The sequence below is a fragment of the Homo sapiens genome, chromosome 10 (genome assembly GCF_000001405.40).
Source record: "Homo sapiens chromosome 10, GRCh38.p14 Primary Assembly".
Taxonomy (NCBI): Eukaryota; Metazoa; Chordata; class Mammalia; order Primates; family Hominidae; genus Homo; species Homo sapiens.
This window is the reverse complement of record NC_000010.11, coordinates 77,831,754-77,858,435: the sequence shown is the minus strand read 5'-3', so window position 1 is coordinate 77,858,435 and position 26,682 is coordinate 77,831,754. Positions and strand designations below refer to the sequence as shown.

Sequence of the window (26,682 nt, the reverse complement as noted above, 5' to 3'; positions counted from 1 at the left end):
CTCAAACTCCTGAGCTCAAGGGATCCGTCTGCCTTGGCCTCCCAGAGTGCTTGGATTACAGGCATGAGCCACCACTCTTGGCTAATTTTTGTATTTTTTGTAGAGATGTGATTTAATCTTTTTTTTTTAATACATATTTCTTTTGTTTCTAACTCTATTATAATCTTATGGGACCACATCCTACATGTGGTCCACCATCATTGACTGAAACGTTGTTATGTGGCACATGACTGTCGTGCATTTCAGGGGGTGCTGGAGTCAAGTGGTTGGGGTTCCACAACCTGAAAAGACTGAAAAGCACAGCACTGGGAGTTGAGGATCCTCCTCCCACTGTGGTCTGGCTTGTCATGCCTGGCCCTGAGCTCCCTATCCTCCCTGGCCCTTCTGGAAGGCCCCAAGCCACTGCTTTTGTCTTGGGTTGGGGGACTCTTGGTTTGCATGAACATTTGACCAACAAGGATCAGTGGGACAGGGGTGGTCAGGACAGCACAGAGAATCAGAAGACCTATCATGTCCTATGCCCTTTGTGCGTTGTGGGTCCAGTGCGGAACAGACACTGTGTCCCCTGACACGAGTCAGCCTGCCAGATCCCATCCACAAATTGGATGGTTGCTGTGAGCTCCTCTGACCCCAACAAGGGTCTCTAAGGGTTGATTGAGATATCAGGTAGACATATTGACAGGGTTCAATATAAAAGCACCATGGATTAGTCTCTTCTCCTGGGATGAGGTGCTTTCTTCCTAGAGATGGATTTGGATCTTATCAGAGGTGGTGGTGGCAGCGGTGGCTGTTGCCTGCTAGGAGCATAAGGTGTGGGGCTCCCTGTAGGACACTCAGTCCTAGGGTGGTTGATGAGGGCTGGTGAGGGTTAAGTAGCCTGGAGGCATCAGGACCAACTTGAATTGCGTCACACTGACCTCAGCTGGGAGCCAGCAGCCCTCCTCTTAGCCTGCACGCCTGGGCTGGTTGGGCAGGTCTTTCAGGCGGGTGGACGGCTTGCAAAAAGGGAGCCGTGCACTGTCCAGCCCTGGTCGAGGAGGGCGGGGACACGGCCCTTGGGCCCCAGCTGCCCTGGTCCTTAGTAGCGTCATTGGATTTCAGGTGTGCCTTTCTCCTCGAGCCATGCCTTCCACTCTCCTCAGGGCACAGGTTGGTCTGTCCTGCTCCATGTGCCAGGCTTAGTGGTGGGTAACAGCTGATATTTCCAAACCAGGGGAGGATGCAAGGATCACGGCCAAAACAGTCGCATCCTGGAGGTGTGAAAGCCAGGTTGGGGAGAGAGTGCGCGTCTTCAGGGTCCTTGCTGGGGTGGTTACTGGGGGTTGTTGAGTGCTTGGATGCTGGAGCCAGATGCCCTGCACTCACTTTCAGTTCTACCTGCTACCGTCTGTGGCTCAGTGTTCTCATCTGTGAAAGGGGAATGCTAAGAGGACCCACTTGTTGGGTCACGAATAGCTAACACAAGCCAACAGCTCAGGACAGCACCGGGCGCCTCGTGAATGCCAGATGAACACAAGTTCACTTTATTATTCCCCTTCCACAGGCACTACCGGGAAGGCGCCGTCCCCACCACCCCTCCTCACTGACCAGCAAGTGAATGAGAAGGTGGAGAACCTCTCCATTCAGCTGCGGCTGATGACCCGGGAGAGAAACGAGCTCCGCAAGCGCCTGGCCTTTGCTACGCATGGCACGGCCTTTGACAAGAGGTAGTAATTGCGCCGTCTCCCCTGCCCAGGCCCCATGGTTGGGATTACTACCCCGATGCTGGTGCTGTCACCCCCAAACACCCCTGGCTCCTGGGGGTCCAGGCTGCGCTGCCTGAGTGTCCCCTTTCCCCCACCTCATGTCCAGAAATGCTTCCCAGGGGCAGGACCCACAGGCTTCTTGTGGGGCAGGTCCCCATCCCACATGTGGCAAGGCCCCTGATAGTGGTGTGCTTGTGTGCAAAGTCAGCTCGTGTGTGTGTGTGTGTGTGTGTGTGTCCCTACCACTGTCTCCTAGACCTGCCTAAGTTGAGTGAAGCTTTATGTGGTTGGTAAACATATTAATTGTTCCCTGTCACACATGTGTTTTATTTGTTTTTTGAGACGGGGTCTTGCTCTGTTGCCTGGGCTAGAATGCAGTGGCACAATCATGGTTCAATGCAGTTTTGACCTCCCCGGCTCAAGTGAACCTCCCACCTCAGCCTTCCAAGTAGCTGGGACTATAGGTGTGTGCCACCATGCCCAACTAATTTTTTTTTTTTAATTTTTTTGTAGCAGCAGGGTCTTTCTTTTTTGCCCAGGCTGGTCTTGGGCTTCTAGGCTCCAGTGATCCTCCTGCCTTGGCCTCCCAGAGTGCTGGAATTACAGGCGTGAGCCACAGTGTCTGGCCCCACATGATGTGTTTTAAACAGAGCACATTGTACCTGGTGTCTTTGTTGCTTTGAAGAAAATGTTTGCTGCTTTTGTTGTGATTTAGAGGTAGATACCAGGGAAGGGTGGCCCATAGGGTGGGGCAGAGAGAGTCTTTATCTACCTGCATGATCTAAGAGGACTTTCTGGGAAGGAGGAGGGCCAGAGAGTGGTTTATCCTTTAGCTCCCATGCTGGTAGAGGTCTGGAGGGGAGGGGGGCTTGGTGTAAACACTTCAGTTTCACCTCTTTCCTTCAGGAGTAAGGGTCTATGCCTCTGCACTTTGTGCCTCTGGGATTATGCCAGAGCTGCAGAGCCTGATCCCTGAGCTTGTATTCATGAGGATATGCCCCTCAGTCAGTTGGCCCGAAGGCAGGATGAGTGAAGACGTGGATGTGCTAGCACATGAGAGTTGGCACACTATGGCCCACGGGCCCACTGCCTGTTTTATAAATGAAGTTTTATTGGAACACAGCCATGCTCATTGGTTACAAAGTGTCTATGACTGCTTTCCTGCTACAAAGGTGGAGTCGAGTGGTTGCAACAGAAACTATGTAGTGTGCAAAGCCTAAAGTATTTACTGTGTGGCCTTTTGCAAAAAAAGTTTGCTGACCTCTGCTCTAGAAAAAGGGTCCTCAAACTTGAGCATGCACCAGAATCATCCACAGAGCTTGTTAATGCACAGATCATTGCCTCTCTTTCCCTCCCTTCAGAACACCTGACTCAGGAGGGCTGGGGCTGGGGCTAGGCCTGAGAATGTCTATTTGTGACAAGTTCCCAGGTGATACTGTGCTGCAGGTCTGGGAACCCCACTCTGAGATCACTGCTCATGGCCAGTGTTCTTAACCTTGGTTGCACATTGGAATACCCTGGGGAGTTTTTAAAAAATCCTCACGTTTGGGTTTTATCCTCAGATATGCTAATGTAATTGACCTGGGCATTGGTATTTTAATGTGTACCCAAGATTGAGAGTCATTGTTCTAAAGAGAGGAGAAATTTCTTTTCTTTAATATTTTACTTTTATTTATTTATTTATTTATTTAGTAATTATTTTTGAGACAGGATCCTCTCTGTTGCCCAGGCTGGAGTGCAGTGGTGTGATCTCGGCTCACTGCATCCTCGACCTCCTGGGCTCAAGTGATCCTCCCACGTTAGCCTCCTGAGTAGCTGGGACTACAGGCACATGCCACCACACCAGGCTAATTTTTGTATTTTTTTTTGTGGAGGCGGGGTTTCACCATGTTGCTCAGGCTGGTCTCAAACCCCTGGCTTCAAGTGATCCACCTGCCTCAGCCTCCCAAAGTGCTGGGATTACAGGCACGAGCTGTCACGCCGAGCCTACAGAGAAGAGACATTTCATCACAGGTTTCTGGTGGACTCAGACCTGTTGTACAGACTCCTGGAAGCTCCTGCAGAACAAGTTGGCACCTTCTTAGCTCTCCAGGCCCATGCAGGGAGCTCAGGCAACCACGGCTCCCTCCATCCTAGGGATTCTGATTCTGTGGGTCTGAGTGAGGCCAGGATATCTGAGTTTAACAAACACCCAGGTGTGTGTGGTGCATAGAAGACCAGTACTGGGGAACCACTGGGCTGGCCTAATCCAGGACCTGGTTCCTCTATCCGTGTGAATCCTGGGGCCTGTGTTCATGGGGCCATTCGCTCTCTGGGCCAGGCCCTACCACAGGCTGAATCCTGACTATGAGAGGCTGAAGATCCAGTGCGTGCGAGCCATGTCGGACCTGCAGAGCCTGCAGAACCAGCACACCAACGCCTTGAAGAGGTGTGAGGAGGTGGCCAAGGAGACTGACTTCTACCAGTGAGTGAGGCCTGCTTGGCCAGGGCCTCCAACACCCACAGACAGCTGCCTTTGCCCTTCTTTTCTCTGGACTTAGTAGCCAGGGGTTCTGGTTCTAGTCCTGTCCCTGTGCAAGAGCAAGCAGTCTGCCTACAGCAGGTGGATTTGTGCCTTTGGGCCTCAGTTTTCCTAAGTGTAAAACAAGGCTATTAATCCTTCACATCTTATTGCCAGCTTCAGAGACCTGGCAGGCATGAAAGTGATTCAGAACATGCAGCAGGGCTCAGGCAGGCCTCTGGGTCTCTGTCCAGGGGCCCTACTGCAGCTTCTTCCTGTAGGGTAGGCCCAAGGGGTGTTTCCCTTTGGTCTCCCAGCATCCCTCTGAGGGTCTTTGCCTGCCCACCTGCTGATATCTGTCCAGGCCCCAGTATTTGGAGGCACTAGGTCTGTACCAGAGGGGCCTGTCTCCCTTCCCTGGAGATACATGTGCCCTTTTTGGTGTCAGGTTTGTAAGTGGTGATTTGGATGTTTCTGGAATTGGGCTGTTAGCAGGTTTTGGCTTGCCTCTGAGTGCTACAGACCTACCTGCCATTGGCTCCTGTCCGCTGTATCTACGGGAAGTGTTGGGACCTGAGGCTGGTGATGCCCTGGGGTGGGGCGGGGTGTGAGGGGCTGGCTGGGGCTCACTGAGCATGTACCGGGTGTTTCAGCACACTCCACAGCCGGCTCCTGAGTGACCAGACTCGGCTGAAGGATGACGTGGACATGCTGAGGCGGGAGAATGGGCAGCTGCTGCGGGAGCGAAACCTGCTGCAGCAGTCATGGGAGGACATGAAGCGGCTCCACGAGGAGGACCAGAAGGAGATCGGTGACCTCCGTGCCCAGCAGCAGCAGGTAGGCCCAGCCCCTGGAGACTGGCCATTTCTCCCAAGTAGTCCTCATTCCTTTTAATGGAGAATAGTATTGAGAAGTAAATGCTGGGCCGGGCACGTTGGCTCACATCTGTGATCCCAGCGCTTTGGAAGACCAAGGTGAGAGATTGCTTGAGATGAGCCTGGGCAACATGGCAAGATCCCATCTCTACAAAAAAAAAAAAAAAATTAGCTGGACATGGTGGCACACCTGTAGTCCTAGCTACTCAGGAGGTTGAGGCAGGAGGATCATTGGAGCCCAGGAATCTGAGGTTATAGTGAGCTATGATCATGCCACTGCACCCCAGCTTGGGCGAAGGAGTGAGACGCTGTCTCTGATAAAAAAAACACAGCCAACCAATTGCTGGATGTGCTTGTAGCTTGGGTTGGCACTGTTTCCCGGCCCTCTTAGTGGAAAGAAGTAGGGAGTAGCTAAGTGTACACATACACACAGGCACATATACATACATACATACACATATGTATATCTGTATTTCTATATCAGACAGGTAGATTGAAAGCCATGAGTTCGCATTGACATTTTCAATTCTAATCCAAGACCACAGGTTCATTTTGGTTTCCACCTCTTTTATTTTTGTAACTTCCTTTAAAAACATCAGTGACAAGGCTGGGTGCGGTGGCTCACGCCTGTAATCCCAGCACTTTGGGAGGCCGAGGCAGGCAGATCACGAGGTCAGGAGATCGAGACCATCCTAACATGGCGAAACCCCATCTCTACTAAAAATACAAAAAATTAGCCGGGCGTGGTGGTGGGCACCTGTAGTCCCAGCTACTTGGGAGGCTGAGGCAGGAGAATGGCGTGAACCCGGCAGGCAGAGCATGCGGTGAGCCAAGATTGCGCCACTGCACTCCAGCCTGGGTGACAGAGCAAGATTCTGCCTCAAACAAACAAACAAACAAACAGTGACAAATGTGATTCCTGTTATTTTATTTATTTATTTTTTTTGAGACAGAGTTCGCTCTGTCGCCCAGGCTGGAGTGCAGTAGTGTGATTTTGGCTCACTGCAACCTCTGCGTCCTGGGTTCAAGTGATTCTCCTGCCTCAGCCTCCTTAGTAGCTGGGACTACAGGCACATGCCACCATACCCGGCTGATTTTTGTATTTTTAGTAGAGAGAGGGTTTCACCATGTTGTCCAGGATGGTCTCGATCTCCTGACCTCATGATCCACCCACCTTGGCCTCCCAAAGTGCTGGGATTACAGGTGTGAGTCATCACACCCAGCCAATTCCTGTTATTCTTAATTTGTTTACTTGGTCAATCCCCCATGTGTAGCTGCCTCCCATGCCCTCTGCAGTCCCCCATCCTGTTCCCATCTCCTCCTGACCCTTTGTGGGCTCTTCCACCCCATGCCTTCTCTCTGTCAGGCCTGGTCTCCTCATGCCATGCCAGGACCCACTCCTCTTTCCATGCCAGCTGTGATATCCCCTCTGGGGCGACCTGCCCTAGTGTAGGTCCTTGTCTTGCTCTGCTTTGCCTAATGGCTTTAAGGTTTAATTGTTTAGATAAAAGGAGTATTCCATATTCCAATGAAACTGTATTCCATTGAAAAACTTGCTTCTGTTGAAAAAGTTGCTGTTTATTTTCCTTTCTCCGATATTGATTGAGGTTTTATGTGGAGTAACCAGGGCAGGCTCAGCAAGAGACCCTAAGATGGATATACTTGGAGCTATTAGAAGTATTTTTTATGTGCCCTCTGATTAGGGGAATTGGTCGTGTGAGGTCAGGCCCAGTGGCTGGGGCAAAAGTTGGTATTTAGCCCATAGGTCTTGACTGAGCCTTGGTAATGGAAAGCCGGCAGCAGGAAGACTGTCCCTTCTCGCACCTGCTGCATGGCACAGAGAAGCTGTGACAACATGCTTCCCACCCTTTATAGATTCAGGAGGTGGGGGTGGTGCTCTTGGAGCATTTCTCTAAGGATGAAATGAGAGAGTAGAAAGTGCCGTGCTAGCTCTGGTCAGTACTGCCCACAACCCATTCCCCCTGCAGGGACCCTTCCTTGTGCATGTCAGTGGAGCTTCCTGGAGCAAACAGATTTAAAGACTGTAGGTTTTCAGTTTCTAAAGAGGCAAAAATATTTTTAACCTCAAAAGAAATCCTGTGGAGGAATCTTGCGTGTGAAGCAGGTAAGGATGGCGGTGCTGTGTCAAAACAAAGCTCCCAGGAAGCTGCCCGAGGGGATGGCCCTCTAAGGGTTTGAGCCCCTTCTCTGCCCTGGGGTGCGTGGTAACTTCCCCCACCTGAGGGCAGGCGGCCTCTCCCGGCCTTTACCTACACCCTGCTGTGTGCTTTGTTTTCTTGCTGTTTTGCCTGCCGGCAGTTTGTTCTTCTTGGTCTACGCTTGGCTCAGGTAACCTTTTGCCTTGGGGTTTAGTTTGGATTCTATACTTCCTTGAGAGAATCATCATTTCAGAGGTGTATGTGGCTCCACCTCGGTCCAAGGGAAGCCCCACAGCCTTGCTAGAAAGCACGAGGTTGGCACATCTCAGTGTAGGAGAATTGGTCTGTATGGCTGTCATGAAGACACTGCGTAGAAGGCACTGGCGCCGCGTGCCCGTGTGTATGAGGCGCTCAGTCAGTGTTGTGGTCGTTAATGATATTATTCTAATCCTGTCAAGTCTGGGTTTAAATCTGCCTCATCCAGGATGTGTAGAAATTGGGACCTGCATATGTTGTTGGTGGGAATAAATGATACAGCCACTGTGAAAGGCAGCCTAGTGATTCCTCAAAAAACTAAACAGAGCTAACAGGTGACCTCCCAGCGACACTCCTAGGTGTCCAGGAGAACTGAAAATATACGTCCACACAGAAACTTGAGGTGTGAATATTCATAGCAGCCCAAAACCGGTAACAACCCAAAGGTCTACTGACCGATGAATGGATAAATAAAATGTGATCTATCCATACAATGGAATATTATTCAGCATAACAAGGAATGCAGTACTGATCCATGCTATAGTGTGGATGAACTTCAAAAACATGACAGCCAATGAAAGAAACCAGCAAAAAGACCACAAACTATGATTCCAGGTACATGAAATGTCCACAACAGGGAAATCTATGTAGACACAAAGCAGATTTGTGGCTGTCTTGGGCTTGGGGTTTGGGAAGTGACTGCTGATGGGTATTGGTTTCTTTTTGGGGTGATAAAAATGTTCTGGAATTAGATAGTGGTAGTGGCTGCACAACTTTGTGGATTCATAACCTTGTGAATATATTAAACACTGAATTGCATACTTTGTGTGGTATGTAAATTATAACTCAGAGAGGAAAAAAAAAGACTCAGAATTTCACCTTGTCATAAATAGAGAAATCCAGTCTGGGTACAGTGGCTCACACCTGTAATCCCAGCACTTTGGAAGGAGCAGGAGGATCCCTTGATTCCAGGAGTCCAAGATCAGCCTGGGCAACATAGACTATCTCTACAAGAAATTGTTTAATTGAAAATATTATTTTTTTAGAAGGAGCACTCTGCCCTCAAGAAGCGTAAAGTTTCCTTGTCTCCCGTTCTCTGACTTTCTTGAGCACCTGCTCAGCTTTACAGACATTCAGACTGAGGTCTCCCTCCCACCCCTGTCCCCCTCTCCCTTTCCTGTCTGCCTCACAGGGGAGGGTCTTCTTCCCCCACCTTGCAGCCCATTCCCTGCTCTCCTTTTCCTACCGTTGTGGTCCTTGGCAGCAGGGGCGGGGGTGGGGATGCATCCTGGTCATTGGGGTCCCCCAGGTCAGTTCAGCTGGACCAGTGCCTCTCAGCAAACACCACCTCCAGACCCCACCAGGAGAAGAGGCCTGGCTGCCACAGGGAGCAGGGCTGGGAGCATCTCAGAGCTGCTGGGCGACCAGCCCCGCGTCCTGGCATCCTGGGCCCCCTTGCCTTCATCAGGCGTGGAGTGGATGCCTGGCTGTGGGATGCTCAGGTGGCAGTAGGCCAGCAGCAGAGGAAGCGGGGATAAGGGGATGGCCACAGGCTTGCTCCCCGCTGGGCCCAAGGGCAAAGGTCAACCTCTCTGGACAAGGGCAGTTTTGTTGCCGGGTTCCTCCCACGCCTTGTAAACTTGAAGAGGCCCTTGCAGGGTAAATGGTGCTGTTTGACTTGAGTGTTTGCTTGAGGGATTTGTGGGGCTTCCCGGCCCTCTGCATGATTTATCTCAGAGGAAATGAGGCAGCCCTAGGGGAGGGGGCGCCATGGTTGAGAGCAGCACACAGGTGTTTTGTCCATATGTGTGTTTTGCTGGGGAGGGCCTCTGCCTGGCATCCCCATCTCTGGGTTTGGGCAGTCCGAGTGCACCTTCTTGGATTCTTCTAGGCTGTGTCAAGAATGCCCAGAAGACCCTGACAAGGCTTGGTTGGGGAATCTAAGTAGAGGGTGTTTTTGCATCTTTTTTCTTTACTAAAATAGTGTGTATTCTTTAGTTAAAATAGAAAAAAAATCTTCAACCAATGTGGGCAGCCACCCACCTACTCAGATCCAGCCTAGCTTTGTGGAAATGACCATCCTCTGTGTAAACCATTGGGATGGATGTGTATCCTTGTAGATTTTTTTTTTAATGTCACATTTAATACCCATATAGTTTAATTTTTATTCCCTGAAACCTGCTTTAAAAAAAAATCCTACAATATATCATGGGTTTCCTTACATTTTCTGTGAATTTGCACATACAAAAAGGTCCTTGCTTGTTTTGTTGTCTGTCAGGTGTTAATCGAATTCTGTGTGGAGCGTCTTGGTGGTCAACATCTTCCCATGTTACAAACCATGTTTCAGTGGACACACATGTCTTTGTGTTCTTTTGCACACATGTTTTGAAGTTTGAGCCTTACAGGTAGAATTCCTGGGACCAGGGCAGTGCACATGTTCTCCTAGGTCCTGCTAATCTATTTGGGAAACCTCTCAGGCCCCGAGAGTCTTCTCTCTCCTCCTCCTTGCCCTTTCCCCTGTCTTTAAAATATACTTTCTCTTGTAATTCATGAAAGTTGATTTTCTTGTCCCAGGTATCCTGAATGAATGCCCTTTGATGGGCCTGGAGGAAGGAAGAGAGGAGAGGGGTTTCCTGGTTGCTGAAGGGCATCCCTTACAGAGAAGCCCACAGAGGAGTGTTCTGACCAATGTAGGGTACAGGTAGGAGGGTTGGTCTCTTCCTGGCCTCCCTGCAGGGAACAGCTTAGACTGTGGCTGTCTTTGTGCCTCCCCTGTGCAACTTCCACCCATTTCTCCTAAGCCCCTTGAACTCACAGGCCAACTGTCCCGTGCTCAGGCTGGAGGGACATCATCTCTAAAGACTGCTGCCTGCCTGAGTGGAAAAGTTGACTCTCAGGCCAGGCTCAGGGCTCACGCCTGTAATCTTAGCACTTTGGGAAGCCAAAGTGGGTGTATCACTTGAGTCTAGGAGTTCAAGACCAGCCTGGGCAACATAGTGAGACCCCCATCTCTACAAAAAATAAAAAATCAGCCAGGTGTGGTGGGGCGTGTCTGTGGTCCCAGCTACTTGGGAGGCGGAGGCAGGAGGATCACTTGAGCCTGGGAGGTTGAGGTTGCAGTGAACTGTGATCACTTTAATTTTAGAATTCTGGGCCAAATTTAAATATTCTCTCTTCATTAGCTTTTGCTGGGAAGCTAAACATTTGACTGTAGTTAGGTGTGTGTGTGTGTGTGCGCACTCGTGTGTGCATGTGCATGTGGAAATACCTACCAAGAACATAATCCTCTGATGGCGAGAGGGAAAAATTCTAGACCAATAGATTTAGTTTTTTGGATTCTCCGGAGTTAACCATGACCTGGTTCCCCAGCTTTGTTCAGAGGCTGTTGGTTACATAGTACAGGCCTGGCACTGAGTCCTGTTTGTAGAGAAAGGGTGAGAAGTGTTTGGGGCCTGCGAGCCTCTTTGAGTATCTGGATGCTGCCCTGTGGGAACAGGTTATTCTGTTTGACTCCAAGGCTAGAGTGAGAACCAGAGGTTAGGAGTTGCAGGGAGGCGGAGTAGCTCCCGGTGAGCACGACCCTATCCCAAGGAGCTTTCACTTGTGGAGCAGGCCGAGGGTGGCCGTCATCGTGGTGGAAGCAAGCAGTACGGGGCCTGATCTCTCTCTCTCGGTCTTCTGACCCGAGGATCCTACCATGTTATGAAGGCTGGGGGGAGCAGCTGAAAGGACCTCGAGGTCTGTGACCCACCCTGTCGCACTGGGAATTCGTGGCCCACTCTCACGGCCCTTGCTGGCAGCCTGATTCACACGGCCCTGAATCATCCCTGGATTGTCACACAGGCCCGGATCCAGGCCCCTCAAGGTTAGCCATTCAGGGGACTGCAAAGAGGCCAAACCATGGTATAGACTCCTGATTCTGCCGAGCACTTGTGGAGGTGGGCTCTGCGGGCTACCACCCAGAACCGGGCTTTGTGTCATTTCAAGGCTGCCTTTGGAATGAGTTTGTTTCTGAGCTGGGAAGGCGGGAAGCCGCTGCAGGAGAGCGTTGGCTCGTCTCCCCGCGGCTGCCACCTTGTGGGGAACTCAGGCAATGACAGCCTCCTTTGTTCCCCAGCAAAGCAGACTCATTTGGAGCCAATGGGGTTCTCACTTGGCTTAGGGGATGTTTAGACAGTAAAACATTTGAGGTAATTTTTTTTTTTGAGACAGAATATTTCTCTGTCGCCAAGGCTGGGGTGCAGTGGCACAGTCTTGGCTCACTGCAACCTACGCCTCCTGGGTTCAAGTAATTCTCCTGCCTCAGCCTCCGGAGTAGCAGGGATTCCAGGTGCCTGCCACCACACCCGGCTAATTTTTGTATTTTTAGTAGAGACAGGGTTTCACCATGTTAGCCAGGCTGGTCTGGAACTTCCAATCTTGTGATCTGCTCACCTCGGCCTCCCAAAGTGCTGGGATTACAGGCGTGAGCCACTGCGCCCGGCCTGAAGTAATTTTTAATTGGCATTTTTGAGGTATTGCTCACCAATCAGGGCAATCCAGTTTAGATGCTGGACCTTTCCAGATGTGGGTAGAAGGCGTTGGTTGACCAGATGTCAGGACTGTCCTTCACTGACCCAGTATAGTCATGGTGAGCCCATTCTTCGTCTTTTTTTTGAGACGAAGTCTCGCGCTTGTCACCCAGGCTGGAGTGCCATGGCGTGATCTCGGCTCACTGCCACCTCCGCATCCTGGGTTCAAGCAATTCTCCTGCCTCAGCCTCCCGAGTAGCTGGGATTACAGGTGCCCGCCACCACGCCCAGCTAATTTTTGTATGTTTAGTAGAGACAAGGTTTCACCATGTTGGTCAGGCTGGTCTCAAACTCCTGACCTCAGGTGATCCGCCTACCTCGGCTTCCCAAAGTGCTGGGATTACAGGCATGTGCCACTGTGCCTGGCCAGGGCTTTTTTTTTTTTTTTTTTTTTTTAAAGAAAGATTTTAGATGTAGAGTGGGCACTGTCAGTGAGGTTCTGTTTCTCAGTGTGCATTCCTGTTTTGCAACAGTGATGCCATTTTACAAAACAGTGAAGATTTTGACTGCCTGAGATACCTGTGTACTGCTTTTTAAAATAAGTTCTGTATTTTTGGTGTACTAGTAAGATTTCCCTTGAAAGAAAATGTTCTGCTTTAAAAATAAATAAAGGAAAAAGAATGAGCCTGAAATGAACCAATCCTCCCTCCCTCTCTCCCTCCCTCCTTTCCCTTTCTTTCTCTCTCTTTCTCTTTCTCCTCCCCTTCCTTCCTTCCTTCCCTTCTTCCCTCCTTCCCTCCATTTCTCCCTCTTCCTTGACTTCCTCTTTAAGAGTCTACAGTCCTAGAATCTAATGCTTAGGTCTTAGAGGAAGACCTTACTTTCTTGTTGCTATGATTCTGACTTTTAAATTAAGCCCTCTTTTGCTTTTTGTGTTTTTCGTGTTTATTGAGAGCTGACCCTAATTCCAAAGGGAGTGTTCCATCGTCCCAGCTTCTGGTTCTCTAGGCTGCAAACGCTTGATAAACCAGGCTGCCACTGAATGAGCCAGGTGATTCCTCGGCTGTTGGAGCTGGAAGGGCCAGACAAGCTTTCCTGGTCTAGCCTGGGCATTTGAGGAATCCGGAAGCTGAAACCCAGAGAGGTGGAGTGACTCACCCCAGGGCTCAGATCCCATGAGGTGCTTAGCCAAAGCCAGCAGCCCCCCTGGCAACCTCTTAACTCATCTTCTTGGTTTGTTTTTTTCTCTATAACAGCACCCCAAATGAACTTTAGTGCCTGTCATTTAGAGTAGAATGCTGTCTAGCTTAAAACCCTCCACAGCTTCCTGTCTCACTCAGGAGACAGTCTTCACTGTGAGGCCTGCGGCCATGGCCACCCCCATGCCCACACCCACTTCTCCAGGTCCCCTTTGAACCCACCTCCCCCTGTGCATTGGGCTCTTGCTACTCCGCCTTGCCCCTCTCTGTCTCTAGAACACGCCTGCAGGCCCTGCCTCTGGGCCTTTGACCCTGCCCCCCTCTCTGCCCAGTGTGCTCTCGCTGCTCTTCTTCATTTGCCTCTGAAGTCGCCTTCTTCAAGAAGCCTCTTCAGCCTTAGCCTCCCTCACAGACCTCCACTCTGCTGCTCAGATGGCTCTCTCCAGCCCATTATTCTGTTTTATTTTTTATTTTCTTGATAGTTCTTACCTTGCTCTGAAGTTACTTTATTTGGCCTATCTGTGTGTCCACACCCTCCAAATTAGGATAAAAGGCCCACAGGGCACAGCGTCTTTCTGTCCTGTCTGGCATCACCAGCCCCTAGACCAGTGCTAGACATATTAGGTACTTGCATGGGATGCGGGGGGACCCTACACCATGGAGGGTCACCCTAGGGCTTTTGAGAGTCTTTAGGTCCGATTTACATAACCTGATTCTGGGCTATGTCACTTTCTGGGAGGACTCAAAAGATTCAGTATGTAATTATACTCAATGGCTGACATTTATTACAACAAAAGTACACAGAGCAAAGTCGGCAAAGGGGGAAAGGCGCGTGAGGCAAAGTCCAGGGGAAACTGGGCCTGAGTTTCCAAGAATCCTCTCCTGGTGGAGTTTCACCGGAGGCACTTAATTCCTCCAGCATGGAATCACAACAACACACAAGAAGTGCTGGCCTCCACGGAGGCCCATTAGAGACTCAGTGCTCAAGTGTCTTATTGGGGGCTGGTCATGTAGGAACTTCTGCCTGCCATGTACCCAGATTCTGGACTCCCAGTAGAAAGCAGGTGTTCAGCATAAGCCACTTTATTTGTACAGGCTCAGTACCAGAGCTGCTTATATCACCAGAAGAAAAGTTTTACATCAGCCTAGAGAACTGTTTACTGTTCGGGTTCCTAGACGCCATTCGGTAGGGTCAACCTTGCAAGCAGGCCTTTCTAAGGATATAGAAGTCTCAGGTCAGCTGTGTTAACTGTTCTGCACAATACTTAGTAAATAGTTGTGACTGAGTGAATCTAAATGAATCAGCCCAGTGTGACTGCAGGGCCTGGAGAATTGGACCTCAAGACTCTCAAAAGCTTTAGGGTAACCCCCTCCCCCCAACCGCCTTGTCATCAGTCTCACCCTCAGATAGACAAAAGTGAGAGTGGGAGGTCTCCTCCGCCACCTCCCACAGACCCTTGGTAAGTGAAACTGTCTGGTCTCCAGGTGTTGAAGCACAACGGGTCATCCGAGATTCTCAACAAACTGTATGACACGGCCATGGACAAGTTGGAGGTGGTCAAGAAGGACTATGACGCCCTTCGGAAGAGGTACAGTGAGAAAGTCGCCATCCACAATGCAGACCTGAGCCGCCTGGAGCAGCTGGGGGAGGAGAACCAGCGGTTGCTGAAGCAGACAGAGATGCTGACCCAGCAGAGGGACACGGCCATCCAGCTGCAGCACCAGTGCGCCCTCTCCCTGAGGAGGTAGGGCTAGGGCCATCGGGGGCCGGGGGCAAATGGGTCCTATAAGGTTCCCAGCCACCACCAGGGGATGAGAACAGCATGAGTTATTGTGCTTTTTCAATCAAAAAATGCTTCTGACCAGGAAACATTTTTTTTTGACACTGAATGTGTCTTGGGAATCGTGGCTCCCTCTTCCCATCTGAACATCCCTGTTTACCTTCGGGTTCACGGACACCATTCAGTGGTTAGCCTTGCAAGCGGGCCTTTCTGAGCGTGTAGAAATCTCGGGTCTGCTGTGTTAACTGCTCTGCACAATACTTAATAAATACTGGTGTGTTCTGAGCATCCTGTTTCTTTGGTCACTGTCATGTGCCTCTCCCCTCTGTGGCAGTCACCCACCTAGCAAATAGGAAAGTTAATTATCTGGGGCATGTGTCTTCTGTCATCTTTAGAGATGTGATATATGCCCTCAAACAGTGTTTTGTAGAGGATGTGCCTGTGAATCACCAGTTCTCTGGGGCATGTAGCAGTTTCACATGAAAAGTGCTCTTTGGGGATAAATAGGTTTGAGCATTGCCAGGTTGAACCCAGACAGATGTCTCTGCTGCAGGACTTCTCAGAGCCTTCAGCGTGGTGTTGTGCAGTAGACAGACTCTCCAAGAGGGGGCCAAGATGCAGAGTTTCCCAAACATAAGTCATCAGATAATATACTTTTTTGGGGGTAATGGAGCTCCATGCAGAACCGGTGTCTATGGAGCACACTGAGAATTGCTGGTCTGGAGCCATGGGCTCTGATTTGCAGGCTGCCTGTGTGGAAGATGTCCCCCGGCCTGGAAGGACAGAGCTGTGCTCTTCGAGCGAACTTGATGACCTTGTCACAGGGCTGTACTGTTCGTATCTGTGAAATGAGGCGGTTTGACTAAATGATCGTTAAGGCCTCTTTATGCTGTTATCCTGGCATTGTTTTGTTTTTATTATTTTAAAAAATTAATGTGGCTTGACTGTGGGAGAAATATGCTGTTGTTTCTAGTGGAGTGGAGGGCATGAAGTCCTCAGTTCAACTCCTGGCATTTGTAAAGGGCTGAGAAAAATTCCAGGTCCGGGGGCACTGGTACTCCATGACTTTTCTCTCCTGGGGGTGGAGAGAGTGACTTCACTTGAAACTTCACGCTTGACTGTCCAGCACAGTAGAGCTGGCGGGAGGCAGCAGCGCAGCCGGCCACTGACCGGGCAGGGCCCCCGCCCTTCCCACATCTCGCCACCTCTCTTGCCAGGTTTGAGGCGATCCACCATGAGCTGAACAAGGCCACGGCGCAGAACAAGGACCTGCAGTGGGAGATGGAGCTGCTGCAGTCAGAGCTGACCGAGCTGAGAACCACGCAGGTGAAGACAGCAAAGGAGTCGGAGAAATACAGGGAGGAGCGGGACGCTGTGTACAGCGAGTACAAGCTCATCATGAGTGAGCGTGACCAGGTCATCTCTGAGCTGGACAAGCTGCAGACCGAAGTGGAGCTGGCCGAGTCCAAGCTCAAGAGCAGCACATCTGAGAAGAAGGCGGCCAATGAGGAGATGGAGGCGCTGCGGCAGGTAGGTGGGTGGGCCGGTGGCTGGCTTTCAGCCTCTCCTACAGCATCCCGGGAAGAGGGGCTGCAGAGTGCGTGGTGTCCGGATTAGAAGCCTCCTGAGTTGGAGTAAATGGCTTCTCACTGGAGGCCTAAGTGCAAGCTGGGTTATCAGACACTGCCTGAGCTCATGCTTAATGCCCAGCTCTAGTCTGGATTACAGGGGACAAGGCGGGAGGGAGACCCAGACACAGTCATGGCTGCCCGGAGCTTACACACCAACACTCACACCCAAACCCATTGCTACGTAATTGCAGATCAGTCCCATGCTGAAGTCAGTGATATCTCAAGGACTTGCTTATTATGAAGCAAGATACCAAGGCCAAGTTCCCAAAGCCATAGATACGTTAGGCCTCTTGTGTCTGGAAGAGCACCCTCAGGGGCCCTTTTTCACCAGCAGTGTGCATCTCACGAGTCTGCTCTTGAAAAAGTATTTCAGGCTCCTGCTGGGAAGATGTGCTAGTAGGCTGAGCCCAACATTCTTCTCCTAAAGCCTTGCTCTCTGGGGGCCACACCTCCAGGGTTGGGGGGCTGGGATGTTTGGTAGCACTAGATTGGGCCACCTAGCTCAACTCCTGGGTGGCCAATGTGGATTTTCTGTCTCCTTCCTACCTGTCAACCTCTCCTCATCGCGGAGCTCCTTGCCCTAGGTCTAGCTGAGCCCTGCGGGGGCTTGGATGGGCCCATGGAGATTCCCTTCAGTCTGTGTTGTGTGTGGCTCTGATTAGAGCTTCTAGACTTGATCACAGCAGATTTTTTTCCTATCAGAATAGTTCTCAGATATTCACATCCCTCTATTCTGCCTTTCTGTGCAGGTCAGTTAGAATGCAGCTTTCAAAGGTGGTTTATGAGAAGCAAAAAGCAAGGCGTTTAAAGGTCAGGCAGATTGGCAGGGCTGGTATGCATTGGATCATTACTACCAGGTCCTGCTGTACCAAGTGTGAGGCAGGTGATGCCCAGGGGGTGACCAGCATGTCTTTCAACCGACAGCAACTCCTCGTCAGGCCTGGGCAGTGGTAGGGGATGTGGGGAATGCATGAGACACAGGCCCCTTGCTGGGAGATGGCCCTCCTCAGTCATGTGGTCTCGAACCTCTCTAGGCCTCCGTTTCTTTCTTTCTTTTTTTTTATGAGACTGAGTCTCGTGTTGCCCAGCCTGAAGTGCAGTGGCGCAATCTCGGCTCACTGCAACCTCTACCTCCTGGGTTCAAGCAATTCTCGTGCCTCAGCCTCCCAAGTAGCTGGGATTACAGGCATGTGCCACCACGCCCGGCTAATTTTTTGTATTTTTACTAGAGACGTGGCTTTGCCATGTTGGCCAGGCTGGTCTCGAACTCCTGGACTCAAGCGATCCTTCCGCCTCGGCCTCCCAAAGTACTGGGATTACAAGTATAATTCACCGCCTGGTGAGCCACTGTGCCTGGCCTCTGGGCCTCAGTTTCTATTTTTAATTTATTTTTTATTTTTTTATTGAGACAGCCTCTCTGTTCCCCAGGCTGGAGTGCAGTGGCACAATCATAGCTCACTGTAATCTCGACCTCTTGGGCTCAAGTGATGCTCCCACCTCAGACCCCCCAAGTAGCTGGGACTATAGGCGAGCACCAGCTCACCCAGCTAATTCTTAATTTTTTTGTAGTGATGCGGTCTCACTATGTTGCCCAGGCTGGTCTTAAACTCCTGGGCTCAAGCGATCCTCCTGCCTCAGCCTCCCAAAGTGCTAGGATTACAGGCGTGAGCCCCTGCACCCAGCCAGCCTTAGTTTCTTCATTTGCACAATGGAATGGTGGTCATGATGAACAAATGATTCAATATAGAAAATACATCATTGTGCCTGCACAAAGCAACAGTGAGTTGAGATGGGCATTCATTATTATGCCCGTCTGAATCTTACTCCTCTGTTAGGATTAGGGTGAACCTCATTAAACTGTTTCTGTGGGTAAAAATGGGCCAGCCAAGTAATGGGAATTTCATACAAGGAACCACCAAGACTTCTCCAGACCCTTGAGGCAAAAGCCAGTGTGAAGAGAAATATTTACTGCAATGAAATTTTTGAAAAGCTTATTAGAATAAATTTTTAATAAGTAAAGATAATGCATTAGAATTTGGTAATCATCCTAGAAAAACCGTGAACTCATGTTCACATCCTGGTATCTGAGCACATAATTTTTTGGGGAAAATGTCAATATCAAATAAGGAAAACAAAATGATGAAGAAGGAAACTTGGAAAATGACCGAGTCAGTAACTGCTCTGAAATGTCACAGAATGTCAGACACACGCCTGGGGAATAACAGCGAGCCCGTGTGGATGGAGTTTTGAGATTTTCTTTTTTCTTTCTTTCTTTTTTTGAGATGTGGTTTCCCTCTTTTGCCCAGGCTGGAGTGAAGTGGCACGATCTCGGCTCACTACAACCTCCACCTGCCGGGTTCCAGCGATCCTCTTGCCTCAGCCTCCTGAGTAGCTGGGATTATAGACACTTGCCAGTACGCCCAGCTAATTTTTGTATTTTTAGTAGAGACGGGGTTTCGCTCTGTTGGCCAGGCTAGTCTCGAATTCCTGACCTCAGGTGATCCACCCACCTTGGCCTCCCAAAGTGCTAGGATTACAGGCCTGAACCACTGCGCCTGGCCAAGTTTTGAGATCTTTGAAGTTAATCGTGAAGACTGTTTGTAGAAATATAGAAAGCACAGAGATGCACAAAGAACACCTGAGTTCCCTGTGGTGCTGGCGTCCAGCAATGAGACCTCCAGGCCTGACGTCCTTGCGGCAACCACCGCATTCCCAGCACTCAGGCGAGCCATTCAGCCTGGAGCCCGCCTCCATCCTCCACAGGGGGTGTTGACTGGGCATCAAGTGCACCTGTCAGCTGAGGCAGGGATCTTTTCCAGGCCCTGTTCCGAGTCAGCAGGCAGGAGAGAGCCCCCGCGGCTGCCCCATCAGCTCTGAGAGCTGAAATCCTCAGCTCCTTCTCAAGTTGGTCTGGCTTCATGGATAAGAGAGCACTCTCCACCGGCAAGAGCAGACCAGGAGGGGTGGGCAGTGAGGCACCCTGGGGATTGGCCCCGCCACCCCACTGGCTGCTGCCTGTCAGGGGTCAGCTGTGGGGGGCCTTCTGGCAGGTCTAGCTCCCTCACCGCAGAGCCATCTTCATCTTGCTCAGCCCGAGGGCTGGGCTTCAGTTTCTGGCATCGTGCTTGCACGCTTCTGTCTTCTATCTGCACGTCTTGCTCCATTTTCCCCTTTCCTTCTCTATGCCCTCTCTCCCTTCTGTGTTCTGAGTGGGCTGAGGCAAAGAGGGAGCAAAGAGGTAGCATGGGGAGGCCGGGGGCCTGTCAGGATCTTTGCCAGGTTGGCTGTGCCCTTGCCTCCCTCGCCTTCTTCTTCCCAGCTCCCAGGGGAGAGATATCCTCGGGAGCTCCCCTAAGGCCGCCCTCCTGCCTCAGGCCAGTAGCTGACCTTGTCCGGGGAAGTCTCATTGCTCCCAGGAGGAGGGAGGAACTGCCTGGGGAGTTGAGGTCGGCACCACTGGAAGCTGTAGGCCACTGCTGTCTGTTGCAGAAATCTCCCAGGTTCCAACGCACTTTCCTAGACGGGCCCTGCTCACCGAGTTCCGTCTGTAGAAGGGCAGCCCCCCATGCTCCTGCCGTCTGCTGCCCTGAATGCAGTTACACATGCAGCTACAGGTCCTGCTTGAGGAGCTGAGCTCAGCTGTGGTGGATAGACTGGACAGTGCCAGGGGACAAGGCAAGGCAGCAGTGGCCTTTCCAGAACTTAGAGGCAGAGGGCTGTTGTAGCAAGAGAAGCTTCCCAGGAAGCAGAGGGAGGTGCCCTCACCCGAGAGCCATCTGCTCAGGGGCACCACTCCACACTCGGGCCCCATCCTCCCCTGGGACTCTCGAGTGGGCTCTGGCCCTCTGGGGCTGGGTTGCAGCCCATAGGCCTTTCTCACTGGCCTCATGCCTGGGTCTGGCAAGTGTCTTGTGAAGACTAGCCCATCTCTTCCCACGCCTTTGTTCACCCAGCACAGGAAGAAAGAGACTGCAGGTGGCGCTTTTAGAGCAGACTCAGACTGACATCTGATGCCGAGGCAGCCTGGGGTAGAGGAGCCAGTACTGATCAGCTCTGCAGGATGGGGGAGCCCTGGCGAGTCACTTCTAGATCCTGCGGTTCCTCACCAGTGTAATCAGAATCAGTCAGTCCGTCACTTGGGTCCTCTGGGCTTCCAAATTTTACCATTTGTTTAAGGTACCTCATTTCCCTCTCCCCTCTCACTAAAACTAAGTATAGTACTTCTTGTATTCCTTATAAGGAAGCAGTATTTTGGGGATGAATTCATTTTGGATACCAGCAATGGTGTGGGGCCCAGGGAAAGGAAGGGAGCTGTGGGCTGGGGGAGCTGCCCACCTCCTGCGCTGCCTGTCGTCCTGTCTGCACCTGGGGCCTCCCTCCTAGATGCTCATCTAGAGCACCATGGAGAAACCTTTCAGGGAATCCACGTGGTAACGTGTCAGCTCTAAAACTATCCATAAATATATTGTAAAACAGCAAATATAATGTAAATTTTTCAAAGTATTGTTTATCATAAATTCTTGACTAAATTAATACACTTTTTTTTTTTTTTTTTTTTTTTTTTTGAGACCGAGTCTCCCTCTGTTGTCCAGGCTGGAGTGCAGTGGCGCCATCTGGGCTCACTGAGACCTCAGTCTCCCAAGTTCAAGCAATTCTCCTGCCTCAGTCTCCCATGTAGCTGGGACCACAGGCACATGCCACCATGTCTGGCTAATTTTTGTAGTTTTAGTAGAGATGGGGTTTTACCATGTTGGTCAGGCTGGTCTCAAACTCCTGATCTCATGTGATCTGCCTGCCTTGGCCTCCCAAAGTGCTGGGATTACAGGTGTGAGCCACTGTACCCTGCCCCCAAATAATTCTTTTTAAAATGAAAATTTAAGAAGGATTTTTTTTTTTGAAAATAGCAAACTAAACAAACACAGCATACCATGTAAAGCTGAAAAAAAAATCAAAACTGAAATGATTTGAATGACCCCCAGAAACCGTGAGGTCTGAGGAAAGCCTGCCACTGCACTGTCACCCTCGAGTTTTGATGGTCCTTTTTGTGCAAATTATTTTTCAGCTCCTCTGCCTCTGTTTTCAGAGATGAGGGGAATTATCAACTGACTCCAGGTGTTTTCTTGTCAACTTCATTCTCTTCTCTTGTTTTCTACGTCTGAGATCTTTCTGAACACATTTTTGTAGAGGCTGCTGTCTCCTGCTGTCTGGAGAATGATCTTTAGAGGGAACGGAAGCTTTCTTCCTGTGCGTGTGTGTCTTCCTGTGTCCTAGCACTTGGGGGTGGAGAGTCTCGGGGCGGGGACACCAGTGTCATCAGCGCCTCTGCTGTCGTGCTTCTCTTTTGCATGTTTGGAAAGCCTCAAGCGGGAGGAGGAGTTATTCTTGCAGTAAACACTTGCTTTGTCATCCGTCATTTCCCTGTGTTGTCTAAGGATTATAGAGGTGTGGAGGGGGTTTTCATATGAGTGCTACTAAGAGTTTGACTTGAAATTTTAGTGGAGCATATAACTCTCTAGGGATGTGTCAAGATGCAAATGCTTTGGATTTCAGCTTTTTAAATGAACTGAGATACACAGCACTTCACCAGCAGGAATACTGGTGTATTTTTGTCTTTAAAAATAACTCAGTATGCCAGATTATAGGATCACAGACATGGCGGGGGCTAGGGGGTGCTGGTTAATAGGACCGTGGCTGTGGGGTGCAGTCACTGGGGGTATGGGGTGTGCTGCGATGGGCTCCGTGTTTCCCTCCATCCAGCTCCCTAGAGCCTCAGCCTTGGCCCCCGCACTGGTGGGAGGCGCTCCTGGTCCATGAGGCTCAGCAACCTCTCCCTCTTCCTGCCCCTTGCTCCCACCAGATCAAAGACACGGTGACAATGGATGCTGGGAGAGCCAACAAGGAGGTTGAAATCCTTCGAAAGCAGTGCAAGGCTCTGTGCCAGGAGCTGAAGGAAGCCCTCCAGGAGGCGGATGTGGCCAAGTGCCGGCGGGACTGGGCCTTCCAGGAGCGAGACAAGATTGTAGCAGAGCGTGACAGCATCCGGTATGGGGTGACCTCAAGCTGGCGTGGGCTTGCGTCTCCCCAGGATGAGGGGACCTGCTAGGGTCTGTTGGGAGGGTCGGAATCATTTACTGTATGTCCAGGTAAAGTGGGAGGGACCTGGGCTCCTCCTTTCTCACCCCTAGTTGATGCCCTAGCCTTGCCTCTTAGTTTTAGAATTTTCCATTGTTTCTCCCTCCCATCTCACTCAGCCCTAGGTGTCCCAAGTGTGTACTATGTCCACGTGAGACCGCTGTGAAGGGGCACGAGGCCGACCTCTTTTATTTGAGGGTTTCTGATGAGAAGAGCACATCCGAAGTGTGTCCTTTCAGCAGTATTCACCGGGCGCCTACTGTGTGCCAGGGTCTTAGATCTCTGGAGCAAGGAGACCTTGGGAGAGGCTTGGTCAGGCACGGCAGTGAGGGAGGAAGATGTGTAACTGAGCTCTAGGGCTGTGGGGGGCATGCAGGGCTCCCTGGGGTGTGGGGAGGTCTCCCCAGAGAGTGTGGCATTCGCACTAGAACTGGAAGCATGAGTGGGGTTTTTCCAGGTGGAAAAGGGGGAAGGGCATTGCAGATGGAGGGCACCTGTGGAGTGTGCTCAGGGCAGGGACGTGGGCAAGTCGTGGGGAGGGCAGGCTGGCGAGATTCCCAGGGGCAGGTGTAGAGGCCTTGAAAGGGAAGCCAAGCAGTGTGGGCTTGATCCTTGGCTGGGGAGGAACCAGGAGAGGCTATGGTGGTGGTGATGTTTGGGGTGGGGAGAGATAATGTCTTGCTATTTGGGAGGTGTCCAAAAGATTTCTTGTGGTTTGTCAGGGGAGAGACCAATGTCTCTAGGGGCTGGTCAGGAGATGAGGATGGCTAGGTGGTGAGGCCCTGCTAATGGAGAGCACAGTTAGGTGCCCAGTGCAAGGGGAGGGAGGCCCAGGGGCTGCTTCCTGTCTGCTTCTGCTCAGACCCCTTCCACGGGTGTCTCCAGGGGGCAGTCCTCAGCCAGGCTCTGACTGAGGCTGGGGGAGATTCGAGGCTGTGGAGAGGTAGGAACCAGTCCTCTGGGTATGTCCATTTCTGGAGGTGGCACAGAGCCCAGGCCCCTCCACAGCCAGGTAATCTGTTTCCACCTCCTTGGGGTCCTCTTTCATAGAGTCTTGCCAAGCTTGTACTTTGCACCTGCACAGAGCTAATAGAGACAGAGATGCATGAGGACTGGCTGGTATCCGAAGGGGCTCCCTTCCTAGTTGCAGGGTACAGGGACAGCTCTAGAAAGCTCTGCCTGTGGGTAGATATGAGACATGTGGTAGTGCTGGAGCACAGGCCTGCCAGGCAGGTGGGGGGTGCTTCATGCAGAGGAGAGCCACCCCCTGGCTCCCCAAGTTGGCATTAGAACAGTGAGTGTGTGCAGAGGGTGGTCCTTAACCCCAGGCACATTGAGGGTGAAACAGGGCATTGGGAACCTGACACTTGTTGCCGGGTGACTGTGGGGGTGTCTCTTCCCTGCCCAGGTCCTCCACATTCCCTCTGTCATGCACTGGGGCTGGCCTAGGTGGTCTTACCCCTAGATTCCCAAGTGTTCCTGTGCATCTGGGGATGGGATAGGTGCCGGCAGGTATTTGGAGTGAGGTGGCCAGACCATCCGCTGCAGACCAGGAACCCCCTTCCCCATGCCTCTTGAGATGACCTTGTCCTCTGCTCCTTCCACCAGGACACTGTGTGACAACCTGAGGCGGGAGCGGGACCGTGCGGTGAGCGAGCTGGCTGAGGCCCTGCGCAGCCTGGATGACACCCGCAAGCAGAAGAATGATGTCAGCCGCGAGCTGAAGGAGCTCAAGTAGGCTCGGGTGGGCACCCGCTGGAGTGGGCATGCATCTGGGAGCCTGGGGCCCCTCTCCCTTCTGGGCAAGGCAATGCTGAGTGCATTGGCCAGGGCCTCATCCTTCTGCGTCGAGCTGGCTGTTTGTCCCTTCACTTCACTCTGCCTTACTCTGTCAGTGTGTAGAATGGGTTCGAATGTCATCTCCATGTAGGGTTAATTAGAAATTCTTAGGCCAAAAATTCTTAGACACAGGGCAGGCACCATGTGCCAAGGCACTAGGAAGGGAGGACCCTGTTCCCAAGCAGTCCATCTGGGGCAGGCATGCATGTGTTATCCATTCATTCATTCCCCTACTCACTCACTCACTCACTCACTCACTCACTCGCAGAGATTTTTTAAGTACCTGCTCTGTATGGGCCAGCCTCCATTAGAGGCACTGGAGAAATGGCACTGACAAGCATACCAAGTCCCTTTCCTCATGGGCTCACAGTGCGCAGGAAGAGACACAGACCAAGGTCAGGTCCATCTAAGAGACAAGTACGTAAATGAGTAAGATGACGACAGATTGTGATTAGAGTTTTAAAGGCAATTGCAACCCCCATCCAGCAGTCTGTTCTGCTTGTGTTATTTGGACGTCCATTTGGAAGACCATTTGGGGTGTCAGACATCCTCCCCTCGATTACAGCAGCCTCCCAGGGTGTCATTTAAACACTCAGTGGCCTTTAGTAGTGCATTGAAATACAAAGATCAGGGTTTAAGCATAGAAATTGGCAGAGCCCAATAGGCCGTGGTCTAAAACCCAAATCTAGTAGGAAAGCAGTGGCTCTCCATCCATTGTGCGACATTTCCCTAGCTGTTAGTGTGGTGAGGGGGCAGTGAGAAGCTCGTGTGTGAGTGCAAGTGTGCAAGCCTTGCACACTCAAGTGCTGCCCGTCAGAAGGGAGTGACAGCTTCTCTTCTTTCCCATTCAGTAAAATTCCTAATGAGACAAAGAGCTCCATTTATTCTATAAAAACCCAGACTCTCTGGAGCTTGGGTGCTCTCAGGAATATTATAGGGGTTAAGAGGCAAGGCAAGACTCTTCACAGGAACCATCTTGGGTCTAGCAATGTGATGGAATCAAGGGGTTCTCTTCGAAGGGAAAGCCTAGAATCTCTGGCCGTGAACATGGGACATTTTGCCTCTTGTTTGGGCCAGAGTTGCCTGAAGCTTGTGCATTCAGCTTGTGTGTTCATTCAGCATGTTTGCATTTGTGCCTCCTGTCTGCTAAGTTCTCTAACTGGCAGGATGCTGGTGAGGGGGTCTGTGTTGCTGCCTGGGAAGCCTCAGGCACTCCCTGGTAATGCCAGATGAGACAGGTATAGTGAGCAATGAATGCTGAGCTCAGCTGCACTGGCCTGGGGAGGGGCTGGGGCAGTGTTGGAAGGCATTGGAGCTCTGCCCTGGAGGCTGAGTGGCATTCTAGAGCTGGCTGGTGAGAGCACAGCCTAGGCAAAGGTGCGGCCCTGGGGCCTGTCTGCTGGAGCAGGAAACACAAGTAGGTCAGGAGCCCAGTGGGCAGTGTTCATGAGCTGGCAAGGCAGCCTGGGCCCAGATTTCAGGAAGGGTGTCACAGGCAAGTCACCTGAGGATATAACGAGGCTTCTGAGTCTCTCTTTCACATCTTCATTACTAGGTCTTTCTCTGAGCTAATATTTATAATTTTGATGAAGTCAAATCTATCAAATTTTTTTTTTTGAGATGCCCAGGCTAGAGTGCAGTGGTATAGTCTTTGCTTACTGCAACCTCTGCTTCCTGGGTTCAGGTGATTCTTGTACCTCAGCCTCCTGAGTAGCTGGGATTACAGGTGCATGTTACCACACCTGGCTAATTTTTGTATTTTTGGTAGAGACGGGGTTTTACCATGTTGGCCAGGCTGGTCTTGAACCCCTGACCTCAAGTGATCCACTTACCTCTGCCTCCTGAAGTGCTGGGATTACAGGCGTGAGCCTCCGCATCCGGCCATCAGTGAACATTTTTTAAAATTGTAACAATGGCATTAAAGGAAATGTTAAGAACTACATCTTCATCCTAATATAACTATTTAAGTGGTATTTCTGTTGCTGCTTCTGTCAGTTTGCATTTCAATTTGTGATATAGTTGGCGTTAACTTTTATCCGAGGTTAAGTGGTTTAG

At 51.1% G+C, this 26,682-nt stretch overlaps 1 protein-coding gene across 19 annotated transcripts in view, besides 9 other annotated features; it reads left to right on the top strand.

Moving 5' to 3' along the window:
- DLG5 (discs large MAGUK scaffold protein 5) overlaps positions 1 to 26,682 on the top strand; it is a 149,946-nt gene that overhangs the window by 82,301 nt on the left and 40,963 nt on the right. For 11 of the 19 annotated variants that reach the window (XM_047425998.1, XM_006718056.4, NM_004747.4 and 8 more), the window contains exons 3-9: positions 1,544 to 1,706; positions 4,066 to 4,209; positions 4,899 to 5,082; positions 14,730 to 14,989; positions 16,243 to 16,555; positions 22,514 to 22,698; positions 24,397 to 24,522. In XM_047425998.1, coding sequence (XP_047281954.1) covers positions 1,544 to 1,706; positions 4,066 to 4,209; positions 4,899 to 5,082; positions 14,730 to 14,989; positions 16,243 to 16,555; positions 22,514 to 22,698; positions 24,397 to 24,522 — 1,375 coding nt within the window. The other 8 variants (XM_047426000.1, XM_011540345.2, XM_047426001.1 and 5 more) reach the window with 8 other exon arrangements.
- Positions 1,058 to 1,581: an enhancer, noted in NCBI's record as "H3K27ac-H3K4me1 hESC enhancer chr10:79616613-79617136 (GRCh37/hg19 assembly coordinates)". NCBI's record gives its function as "activates a minimal SCP1, AML or CMV promoter by ChIP-STARR-seq in primed H9 embryonic stem cells {active_cell/tissue: H9 hESC(primed)}" and the evidence as "EXISTENCE:reporter gene assay evidence [ECO:0000049][PMID:30033119]".
- Positions 1,582 to 2,105: an enhancer, noted in NCBI's record as "H3K27ac-H3K4me1 hESC enhancer chr10:79616089-79616612 (GRCh37/hg19 assembly coordinates)". NCBI's record gives its function as "activates a minimal SCP1, AML or CMV promoter by ChIP-STARR-seq in primed H9 embryonic stem cells {active_cell/tissue: H9 hESC(primed)}" and the evidence as "EXISTENCE:reporter gene assay evidence [ECO:0000049][PMID:30033119]".
- Positions 3,622 to 4,121: an enhancer, noted in NCBI's record as "H3K4me1 hESC enhancer chr10:79614073-79614572 (GRCh37/hg19 assembly coordinates)". NCBI's record gives its function as "activates a minimal SCP1, AML or CMV promoter by ChIP-STARR-seq in naive H9 embryonic stem cells {active_cell/tissue: H9 hESC(naive)}" and the evidence as "EXISTENCE:reporter gene assay evidence [ECO:0000049][PMID:30033119]".
- Positions 4,122 to 4,623: an enhancer, noted in NCBI's record as "H3K4me1 hESC enhancer chr10:79613571-79614072 (GRCh37/hg19 assembly coordinates)". NCBI's record gives its function as "activates a minimal SCP1, AML or CMV promoter by ChIP-STARR-seq in naive H9 embryonic stem cells {active_cell/tissue: H9 hESC(naive)}" and the evidence as "EXISTENCE:reporter gene assay evidence [ECO:0000049][PMID:30033119]".
- Positions 16,424 to 16,925: an enhancer, noted in NCBI's record as "H3K4me1 hESC enhancer chr10:79601269-79601770 (GRCh37/hg19 assembly coordinates)". NCBI's record gives its function as "activates a minimal SCP1, AML or CMV promoter by ChIP-STARR-seq in primed H9 embryonic stem cells {active_cell/tissue: H9 hESC(primed)}" and the evidence as "EXISTENCE:reporter gene assay evidence [ECO:0000049][PMID:30033119]".
- Positions 20,828 to 21,448: an enhancer, noted in NCBI's record as "H3K4me1 hESC enhancer chr10:79596746-79597366 (GRCh37/hg19 assembly coordinates)". NCBI's record gives its function as "activates a minimal SCP1, AML or CMV promoter by ChIP-STARR-seq in naive H9 embryonic stem cells {active_cell/tissue: H9 hESC(naive)}" and the evidence as "EXISTENCE:reporter gene assay evidence [ECO:0000049][PMID:30033119]".
- Positions 21,870 to 22,142: a silencer, noted in NCBI's record as "fragment chr10:79596052-79596324 (GRCh37/hg19 assembly coordinates)". NCBI's record gives its function as "represses an EF-1alpha promoter that drives an FKBP-Casp9 reporter gene in an ReSE screen in HepG2 liver carcinoma cells {active_cell/tissue: HepG2}" and the evidence as "EXISTENCE:reporter gene assay evidence [ECO:0000049][PMID:32094911]".
- Positions 25,484 to 25,983: an enhancer, noted in NCBI's record as "H3K27ac hESC enhancer chr10:79592211-79592710 (GRCh37/hg19 assembly coordinates)". NCBI's record gives its function as "activates a minimal SCP1, AML or CMV promoter by ChIP-STARR-seq in primed H9 embryonic stem cells {active_cell/tissue: H9 hESC(primed)}" and the evidence as "EXISTENCE:reporter gene assay evidence [ECO:0000049][PMID:30033119]".
- Positions 25,984 to 26,485: an enhancer, noted in NCBI's record as "H3K27ac hESC enhancer chr10:79591709-79592210 (GRCh37/hg19 assembly coordinates)". NCBI's record gives its function as "activates a minimal SCP1, AML or CMV promoter by ChIP-STARR-seq in primed H9 embryonic stem cells {active_cell/tissue: H9 hESC(primed)}" and the evidence as "EXISTENCE:reporter gene assay evidence [ECO:0000049][PMID:30033119]".